The sequence below is a fragment of the Homo sapiens genome, chromosome 1 (assembly GCF_000001405.40).
Source record: "Homo sapiens chromosome 1, GRCh38.p14 Primary Assembly".
In the NCBI taxonomy this organism is placed as follows: Eukaryota; Metazoa; Chordata; class Mammalia; order Primates; family Hominidae; genus Homo; species Homo sapiens.
The window spans coordinates 233381009-233392370 of record NC_000001.11 but is presented as its reverse complement, the minus strand read 5'-3'; the positions used below and the strand labels follow the sequence as shown (position 1 = coordinate 233392370).

The 11362-nt window shown below is 38.4% G+C and overlaps 1 protein-coding gene across 1 annotated transcript in view; it reads right to left on the bottom strand.

The window, feature by feature from the left end:
* Positions 1–7222: 7222 nt before the first annotated feature.
* The window catches only part of MAP3K21 (mitogen-activated protein kinase kinase kinase 21), a 57425-nt gene continuing 53285 nt past the window's right edge, over positions 7223–11362 (bottom strand). The window contains exon 10 of the mRNA NM_032435.3: positions 7223–10066. Within this exon, the coding sequence (NP_115811.2) occupies positions 9660–10066 (407 nt within the window). The 3' untranslated portion in view covers positions 7223–9659. The remainder of the gene's footprint in view (positions 10067–11362) is intronic.

Below are 11362 nucleotides of genomic sequence, written 5' to 3'. Positions count from 1 at the left end.
CTTGGTAAAGGGAGACCTGTAATTTCCAGATGCTGTTGCTCTTTACTAAAAAGACTGAAGGAAGAGAAAATTCACTGGTGGGAGTGAATCCAGAACTTCATCTGGGCTGTGTCCAGTTGAGATGTCTTTTAGACATCCAAGAAGAGGCAACGGCTAAGCAGCAGGATATATACAAGTGGAGTTCTAAGAATAGGATGGGTCGAGAGACAGAAATTTGGGGGAAAAAATGTATTTAAAGCCTATGGGATAAAAAATGTGAATTTAGATGTGTGATGTTAACATGGGCCAATCAGAAAGAAAAACTTCAAAAAGGATTTGTGATCAGCTTTGTGAAATATTACCAACTTACAAGATGGCAGTGTGAGGAGCTCTGAACCCAGTCTCCTGGGAAACAAGCATAACTCGTTAAGAAGAAAAAAAACTATTTGGAAAACAAACACATTTAAAGCGTCTGGAAATTGTCTTAAGCACATATAGCAAAAGAAGCCATCTTTATTTATTTATTTTTTAAACCTACTAAATCTTGGTAAAAACAGCAAGAGTCCATGACATTTGAGCTATGTTCTACTCCCTGTCTCCCTGCATACAACTCCTGAAATCCTTGCAATCTTCCTCACTACATCCCCACCCCCAATCCCAACTCAGCTTGGCAGAAACTCCACTCCAGACAGATTTGGACAAAAAGACAAAGCTGTTCCCTCAGCTCGCAACCATGGGATATGGTATTTCACTGGGTGACACAGGACACTAGCATTTCTTATCTCTTCCAACTCCACATTTAAGAGGCTAAATTTCTGGTGAGTGTGACCAAGAGGTCAAAGTCTCCTTTCCTCCATCCAGGCTCTACTCACAGGGTGGAGGCTCTATCCCAGGAAGAATCCTGGTTTCCCAACTGTCCTCACATGAGCTCACTTGGAGAGCAGAGATTCCACTCTGGGAGAGGCAAGCCAAGAAGATTAGAAGTTGCCATCCCACCCAACACTCAACATATGGCTCAAATATTTTGGCCAGAGGGAAAGATATTTCACAGGAACAGAGAGTTCCAAAGATGTCACCAAAGGAACTGATTTTATGTGAAAGTGTGGTGACGTGCAAGCCTCAGAACAGTCTCAAAAACCATGCTGTTCATTAAGAGCAACAAGCTAAACCATAGGCCATGGAGTTTATCAGAGAGAATTGTGAAAAAAGAAAGTTAACAGGACCCCTCCTGGGTCAGAACAAGCCTTAAAGATAGTCCCAAAACTACCCCTGCCTGAAATTAATTGGAGTAGACTGTGGAGCAAGATATGCCCCAGGGCATAAGCAAAAATAATAGAGCAATCAGCCAGCAATTACTTGGTGTGATGTCAAATGAAGCAGACAGCTTATCAGAGAGATCACGGAAAGAGACAGTTAAAGAGAGCTGTGCTAAAACCATGTCATCCCAGGGGGTTGTGTGCAAGGCCAAGCCTGAACCTTCTAAGGTGTGACACCAAAGGCTTCAAAGGCTTCACTTGGTGAAGGAAATAGATTTCTCTAAAATAGTCTAACAAATCACCATACAAATGAGCAAACAGCAACAAAAACAAGACCTGGAGAGAGGGTGAAGGGAATTAGTATCCACAGCTGCTACATTATACAGTTGACCCTTGAATAACATGAAGGTTAGGAGCAGCAATACCCAACACTCTTGAAAATCCACACAAGACTTTTGGCTTCTCAAAAACTTAACTACTAATAGCCTACTGTTGACTGGAAGCCTTATTGATAGTGTAAAAAGTCAATTAACACATATTGTGTATGTTATATGTATCTTATACTATATTCTTACAATAAAGTAAGCTAGAGGAAAATGTTATTAAGAAAATCATAAGGCAGAGAAAATGTCTTTACTATTCATTAAGTGGCAGTAGATCATCATAAAGGTCTTCATCCTTATAGTCTTCATGTTGAATAGGCTGGAAAGGAGGAGCAAGAGGAGCAGTTGGTCTTGCTGTGTCAGAGGTGGCAGAGGCGGAAGAGGTGGAGGAGGTGGAAGGGGAGGACGGAGAGGCAGGTGCACTAGGTATAACCTTTACTGAAAACTATCTGAGCTAAAATGGACCCACGCAGTTCAAACTTCTGTTGTTCAAGGGTCAACTGTATTACTGAATTGAAGAAAGAAATTCAATTTTTCCTACTGTGCACTCACAACATGCTTCTGACACCAGATGGAGCTTGGGGGGATTTTCTGACACATCAAGCAAGTAATCATTTCTGCAGCAGACACCAGATGTGTGTCCTCTAATTCAACCCAATTCTGCCACTATCTACTTGGAGATCAGATCCCATAGGTTGAGGGCTCAGTCTATCATACCTATCATCAGATCCCATAGGTTGAGGGCTCAGTCTCACAACATTGCTCTCTAATTTTGGTGCCAATAGCAAGCCCCAGGGTTTTTTTCACCTGTGCTTCTGACCTAGGAGCTATAAATCAGGGTTCCCAGGACCTCCTCCTTGGGTTCAATTAATTTGCTAGAGCTGCTCACAGAGCTTAGAAAAACACTTTTTGTTTACTGTAAAGGATATTACAAAAGAGAGAGATGAAGACATGTTTAAGGGGAGGTCAGGGGGGAGGCTTGTGGAGCTTCCATGCTCTCCCTGGGTTTGTCACCCTCCAGAAACCTCCACAAGTTCAGCTTTCTGGAAGCTCCCAAACTCTGTCCTTTTGGGATTATAAGGAGGCTTCATTACATAGGCATAATTGATTAAATCATTGACCACTGGCAACCAACTTAACCTTCAGCACTAGTTGAGGCTGAAAGCCTCAACCCTCTAATCATGCCTTGGTCTTTCCAGTGACCAGCCCCATCTTGAAGCCATCTAGGGGCTGACAGCCGCTAGTCAACTCATTAGCATACAAAAAGGCAGTTAACATTTTGGAGACTGCAAGGATTTTAAAAGTTGTATGCAGGGAGACAGGGATGAGGAACAAATATATATTTCACAATATCACAATTACCTAAACTGTTCAGTTTTCAGCAAAAAAATGTGAGTCATACAAAGAAACAGGAAAGCATAACCCATACACCAGGAGAAAAAGCAAACAAATAGCTTGTGAGAGGGCCCAGATTTCAGATTTAATAGCAAAGACTTCCAAGCAGCCATTATCAATTGTTCAATTTACTAGAGGAAAACATGTTTAAAGAAGTACAGGAAGGTCTGGTGACAATGTCTCATCAAATAGAGAAATACCAACACAGAGATAAAAAAAGAACCATATGGAAATCATGGAGGTGAAAATGTAATAGCCCAAATGAAAAATTTACTAATGTTTTGACACTAAATTTGAACTCAAGAATCAGAGTTTGAAGACAGATCAATACAGATCATATAATCTGGAAAAAAAAGAATGAATGAAAATAAGCAGAGCCACAGACAAATGCTGGATTCACTAGGTACACCAGCATGTGTAATGGGAGTAGCAGAAGAAGAGAGGAAAAGAAGAAGAAAAAAATATTTGAAGATATAATGGCTGAAAACTTCTCAAATGTGCTGAAAACATGGATCTACACATTCAAGAAATTCAACAAACTCCAAGAAGTATATATGCAAAGAGATCCATAACTAGATGTGTCATGGCAAAAATGCTAAGAGCCAAAAACAAAGAGAAAATATGGAATGCAGCACAAGAAAAATGACTTAGGACTTTTCACAAGCTAGCAACTCTGCATGGAGCATTCCTCATCCAGTGGACATCCTGGCTTCCTCAGACACTTCCCTGACACCTCCCACCCACCCAAGATTAGATGAACTCCTTTAATGCTATCAAAGCCCCAGTGACTTCACCTTTTTTTAACACTCCCTTCGCTTGTTGTCAGAATTGGCCGCATAGCTTGTGAGGCCCTGTGAAAGATAAAAATGAGGGCTCCCTCTTTAAAAATTATTAAGAATTTCAAGATGATGTTCACAGAGCATGAAAGTCAGGCTCAGGGACCATCTGAGTGTGAGGCTCTGTGTGACTGCACAAGTCACATGATGTCCATGCAGTTGCCCTGAGCACAGTTTCTCATTAAAACCATCCAGGCAGGGGACAAGCCTCATCTTCCTTGCTCTCCGCTACATCTGGTGTCTCTTTCGTGGTGCCTAACACAGTAGCCACTAAACGAGTTTGTCAGTGTGTGGAAGCTCCTCAATCTAAACTACTTACAGGAAGTCCTCACTTAACATTGTCTATAGGTATTTGGAAACTGTGACTTTAAGCAAAACAAGGTAACACAAAACCAATTTCACTACAGGTGAATTAATAAAAACAGCAGTTAAGTTCCTAGGGCATATTTCTGGTCACGAAAACACCACTAAATCGCTAAATAAAGACCCCAAACACTTCTAACACTAAACATTGAAATAAATGTTATCTATACATACATCTAAGATTAATGAAAACAATTTAAGGTAATTATATACCCAGTGATTCTGGTTCAGGGTCGCAGGTGGCCAGAGCCCATCCCAGCAGCTCAAGGCACAAGGTGGGAATCAACCCCATTCTATGGCAGGGCACACTCACACACCCACACTCTCACACTCAGACAATTGAGACACACCAGTTAACCTGGCATGCATGTCTTTGGGATGTGGGAGGAAACCAGAGTCCCTGGAGAAAACCCACGCAGACATGGGGAGAAAGTGCACACCCCACAGACAGCAGCCCTGGCTGGGAATCAAATTTTTTTCCTCGTTAATATTATAACAGAATGACATTGAATGAAAAAATGTTATGTGTGGACCTGCTATATTTTGCTTGGTTGTAAAAACAATAGCTAGTTTTGTTGTTGTTGTTGTTTGTTTGTTGTTTGTTTTTGAGATGGAGTCTTGCTCTGTTGCCCAGGCTGGAGTGCAGTGGCACAATCTCGGCTCACTGCGAGCTCCACCTCCTGGGTTCATGCCATTCTCCTGCCTCAGCCTCCCGAGTAGCTGGGACTACAGGCGCCTGCCACCACAAACAATAGCTAGTTTTTGTTCCACTCTCTGGTACCGATTACATTGTTTCATTCACAAATACTTCATCTTTCACTATGTTTCAGCATGTTGATCTTTGCAGAAGTAAAGAATAGAGACAGCTTAAGCCCAATTAAATTATTTTATGTGTATATTGCAGTTCTTACATAATTTCACCATATTTATTGTCTTAGTCCATCTGGGCTGTTATAACAAAATAACATAAAGTAGGTGGCTTCTAAACAACACACATTTGTTGCTCACAGTTCTGGAGGCTGGGAAGTCCAAGATGATGGTGCTGGCAGACTCTGTGTCTGCTGTGGGCCTGTTTCCTAGTGTATATATAGCAGTTTCTCACTGTGTCCTCACATGGTGTAAAGGGATAACAGCTTCCTTCAGGCCTCTTTTAAAACAGCATTAACCCCATTCATGAGAATTCATGATCTAATTACCTCCCACCTCTTAATTCCAAAACTTTGATGGTTACGATTTCAACATAGGAATTTTGAGGGACATATTCAGACCATGGCATTTATGAACCTATTGAACAGAATACCTCATTTCTCTGAGTTGATCTATCAGATATGCATATTTTACTCCTTTCTATTGCATTTTCCATTGTATTAAGTGTTATTAGCTAATAGTGTTTTATTTTTAAATAAGTACTGTGAAAGTTAATAATACAAATTGGGCAATTCTTGTCATACATACTCAGTTAAATCAGAACTGAGGGGCCAGAGAGGAAAACATACGTGGGGGACATAGCACCTACTCCACGAATGTATTTTCTCCAAGCCCAGCTGCTGAAATGGCCTGCTGTCACCCCAGGGCCAGTTTTACCTGGTAGCTGCTGAAGCAACAATTTGTGACTCTAAGACTTGTTTTAATTCCTGCCATGACTCACCAACCAGAGCTTGCCAGAGTCCAAAAGCTTCTCTAGTGCCAATGAGCTTTCTTTCAAAACAATATGTAACAATTCTTTAATAAAACTCCTGTCTCTTTGTTCTTTGGACATACTGAAGATCACCTGGTCTCTGTGTATGTCCTGAATTGCAATTCTTGCTTCCTAAATAAAATGTTTCAAATTTCAATATTTATCTCTATATCTTATTTAACTTCAATGGTACTCATACATTTTTAGACTTTTGACTTTTTGATGAGAGAGAAACTACCTTAGCTTTAGATAACATTTACAAAGCTCATTTGCAAGATGTCCTCATCTTCTACACCATGCTTACAACTATTAACCACAGGTGTGAACAGGTAGATGGTGATCACTTGACTCAGACTGGGTCTTTGGAAATTTACCAAACCTTTCTGTGTCTGTTTCATATCTAATGCGATAGGAGTAGTATTACTTATCTCACAGTTTGTTTTTTTTTTTTTTTTTTTTTGAGATTAAGTCTCACTCTGTCACCAGGCTGGAGTGCAATGGTGCGATCCCGGCTGACTGCAACCTCTGCCTCCCAGATTCAAGCAATTCTTCTGCCTCAGCCTCCTGAGTAACTTGGATTACAGGCGGGCACCATCATGCCAGACTAATTTTTTGTATTTTTAGTAAAGAAGGGGTTTCACCATGTTGGCCAGGATGGTCTCGATCTCTTGACCTCTTGATCCGCCCACCTCAGGTTCCCAAAGTGCTGGGATTACAGGCGTGAGCCACCATGCCTGGCTTTCTCTCACAATTTTTATTAAAGAGAATTACAGGAGTTGTCTTCTATAGGCACCTAGGAGGGTTCCCCATACTTAACAGATATTCAATGCACATTACGTTTTGCTCCCTCCCATGTGGTGGGGTAATGCTATGATCTCCATGAAGTCCTGCGATCTGCTTTCCTCATTCACTCAAGCTTTTATCACTTAGTAAGAATTTCTACATGTTAAGTGGTGTTTGAAATTCCTCTGATTTAAACATAAAATTAAACAATAAAATCAACATGTCTCCTTAATCACTGAGATTTTTTTCTCATACTCATTTCACTCTGCAAAAGTGTGTCTTCTGAAAAGCTGGACTTGCAAAACGCTCACCATGAAATATAACTTTTCAATGCATATGTAAACCAAAAAAATTTGAAATAAAACATTTCATTCTACCTTTTTTGATGTATTTAATTGAATGACTCATTTAGTGATTTTCAGTTTAATATATTTAGCAGGTTAATACCTGGCTTATTAAACAATAATCTTTATTAACACAATTTTTCTTATTGAATACAAAATAAACCATTGCAAACTATAGTCACAATAATCAAGAGAGGATCAAAGCTACTGAGCAAATAGACCAGCTATAAAAGTTTATTAAAAAAATAGACAACATATGTAAACATATTTTTCAGTCACAAGGCTTCATAATACAGCACATTAGGCCCAGGCCTTAAATCTCTGCAGTGAGAGTACCTTAATTTTTTACTAACAGTAATTGACTTATCTTTCAGTGAACATTAAGCCTACACAAAAATAAATAACCAGATTCTGCTAAGTTTACTAACACAGAAAATTGCAAATGTACAATAGATTGCAGCAAAAGTTAACTATCTGCAGTAACATGTGAGATTGAATTGTTATATTACAATTATTTTAATACAGCTTCATTTTGAAATTCATCATAATGTAGAGTTGACTAAAATAAAGCTAAAGGGGAATAATAACAGAGATAAACAAACACCCAGATCACATACACTCCCCAACACACACATGCAAACACACATTTACTAATATGCATGCACACACACACACGCCAACATACATGCACACACATACAGGGATGTTTTGGTAGAAGTAAAACTGAGGACATAGTTTCCATCCTTTTTCTTTCATGTATTGATGATTTTAGGTATATATTTCTCTACCCTTAAGCTGGAAGCTACGTGTTCCAAAAGGACTGAACACAAAGCAATCATAGTTTCAAATGTGATAACATTTTGGGAAAACCAAATCTCTGTTACATAATTCAATAACCACACAAAGTGAAGCCGAATCATAGAACAGATGATAAAACAAGAAAACGTATTAAGTATCTGAGACTTTGCTGCAAGAATCCAGAATGCAAGATCGTTTTCCTTAGGGCAAAACTTACCATGTTAATACAATCCTTTCATACTGTTTCTCATCTGCTGGATATACCTGTTAGGCAACCACAATGCTGCAAAATTGCCAAATAATATGATTTTCCTTTTCTTCTATTATAGGTGAGATATTTTATCACACAATTGAATTTATTTTAAATTGCTGACATTTCAGTTATTCAGTAAACCTTAAGCAAGGTGCAATTTTAAATGAAATATCAAGCAATGTTTTTAATTTAGTTTTTCATTGTTTGGAAAAATTTAAATGTCGATTGTCTGTCTTCTGAAGAGCCACATTCTAGAGACAGAAGGGAAGCACAATACATTTAACATAAGAAACCAAGGCAAATTTACCAAGCTCTCGGGTAGCCATTTCTGCACCAATAACTCTGGATTTGTATCATATATGTATGACCATAAAAGTGATTCATAGATAATTTTATTATTTAAATCCTGATCTGCTATTCAAAGATCCATTTCTGAAAATAATTCATAATATAGTTGTCGTTTCCACCATATGAGCTTATTTCAACAGATGTCTAACATTTATCCACAATTAAATGAAATGTGAAATAACAACAACATACTTAACTTCTAATAGTACTGTACTGCTGTTCCTTGAGTTGTCAGTGTCTTTGGGATTATTAGGATAATTATGCACTCAAATAGAGAAAATAAAATTAAGACACATGACTGTTTACAGTACATGATATCTGTGAAGAGCTAGGTATCTGTAACAATTTTTAAAAGTTCTACTGGAGAATGAAAAAGCTTTCCACTTCTGAATATCAAATAAAGGGCTACTGATGGAGGAAGAATGTTTTCTATAGGAAAAACCTAAAGATTAGCCTCACTCAAGGGGCACACCATGTGGTCTCAGTCAAATGGCAAGGACTGAACTTTGAACATCTATTTTGGAGTTCTAATGAATAAAATGCTTATAACTTATATTCAGTAAAGCTTTTATAAGTTACATTCCGTATAATTTCCTCAGAGAGAAATATCATTGCATAATTTAAGTGAGAACTGGACATATGCATTATCGGCCCACAGCCAAGGTTAGGTAGTTTAAACAGGACTTTATATCTATTCCAGTCGTCAGACTTTTAAGACCTTTACTTACTAATATCACATTATTCTTGCCAAGAAACTAAAGCTCTTTCTTGGCTTTTTGTTGCAAAAATGACAATTAAGAAAAGAAACTACAAGAAAAAAAAACAAGAAACAAGACAAGAAAAAGGAAAGAAAGGAAAAAAGAAAAAAAAGGAAGGAAAGAAACAAAAATAGTGAAGCTCATTACAATTTCTGTTGTGTGCAAATGGACAAAGGCATAAATGAGAACAAAAACATTAACATTGTGCTGAAGGTAATTCGACCCAGCATAGTTTTCATTGGTGCACATCTCTTGTTTTACACTTTTGTGTATTCCAAGTTATAAGAAAAGAATCCAGAGGAAAAACAATAGACATGGCTAACAGCAATCATATACATTTTTTGAGAAGCTGGATATATCTTACTAATTTAGGAACATGGCCACAGCTTTTGAAAACACAGCAGCATGAAACAGTTCAAAGGTAGATACATTGTGTTCATTTGTTCACCTTAAAAAAATGCTTAAACAACAGTAAGGCACTTAGTTTAAGACAGGAATTCTTTCTCCAGTTCATATATAGATGGCCGGCTGGTTTTGCTCCTCATTCTGCACAGTGGCACAGTGTAGTCCCTGCTCTGACCTTCCACGTCAGCATCCAGTAATGAAGGCACATGGGATTTAGTTCTCTCCTTGGCAGCGAGGAATTGGGTGGGATGTGGTCCTGGGCGACCCACTACACAGGCAGTCTGTGCCAGCTGAGACACTGCTGTCTGTGGGTAAGCCTGAGGCAGATCTGAGCGGCTTCTCAGGGAGGCAGGGCGACGCTGAGGCACGATGTGGACAGTGCTGTGCTTCTTGGGTGAGACCTCCCTTGGCAGATGACTGTGAGGAGCAGGTGAGGGGCAGAGTGGCAGTGCAGAGGCTCCAGTGGCTGAGATAATAGTTGCACCAGCTGGTTGAGAAAGCCAAAACAGTATGCAGTTAGAAAGAAAATGAGTTCTAAAACAATGAATATCAAGAAAAATAATTATGATGGCAATTCAACAAAGTGATAGCTTTAAAATGAGCTTCAACAAAAAACATGCATTCACAGGCATGATCATAGCACACTGCAGCCTCGAACTCTTGGCCTTAAGGACCAAGGAACTCTGCCTTAGCCTCTAGAGTAGCTGGGACCACAGGCATGTGCCACCACACCTGGCTGAAGTCCTGCAAGTTTGCAAAGAGTACTTCAACCTATGGAAATTATATTTGTAAACAGAGCTAAATAATCCTCACAGTGCTTAGGCCAATAAAAATTATGAGTCATTATAATGATATTATAACGGTAGCTTTCAAAATGGACTAGACTGGAATAAATTTAAGAGGTTTAAAAATGATGGTCAACATGATTAAACTTCACTGTAGATTATGATTTGACAAAACTGATGAAAATGGAAAAGCAGTTAGACTTTTACACGTCACCTCTTTTCTTGTTTGTACTGAAGAACTGAATAATGTTATTACCACTTTAGCAAATAATTATTGGCTTATAAGTTAGAGAAAAATATGCTTTCATATGGGATTACTGTGCTAGAATTTCTCCTTGTGCAATTATAAATTACCAATACTTATTGACCTACAGAAAGATAATAAACCAATTTATCTAAAGGCAATGAACAATAATATAGAAAATATCATATCCAGATATAATATTTAAAAAGAAGTAAAGGAAAAGATAAAAAGGATGAAAGCAGTTTGTCTTAATATAGCTTTATAACCAATGCTAGCATAGCATTTTACAATTTAGAAAGCATTTTTTGTATATATTACCTCACTTAATATTCATGACAGGTATATAAGGTTATTGCAATTATGTTCACATACAAAATAAATAATACTCAAGCTCTACAGAGCACTTAGTGTGCCATCTGACTTTTACCACGATCTCAATTGTACAGATTAGGTAAGTATAGTATTAGGTATGTATATTGTTACTGTCCCCATTTTATAGATGAAGAAACTGAGGCACAAAATGTTTAAGTGATTCGCCCAAATTCACTCAGCATATAAGCAGAGATATGAGCCCAGCTAGCTTCCATACTATTAACCATGACACTACAATGCTTTTTAAGACATTCAAACAAGAAAGCAGTCTACGTAATTTCCCCAGCATCACAAACTTACCAAATAGTACAACTAGAACTTGAACCTTTGTTCTATGACTCAAAATCCCCCATTCTTCCAAAGTACCCATATTATCTCCTCA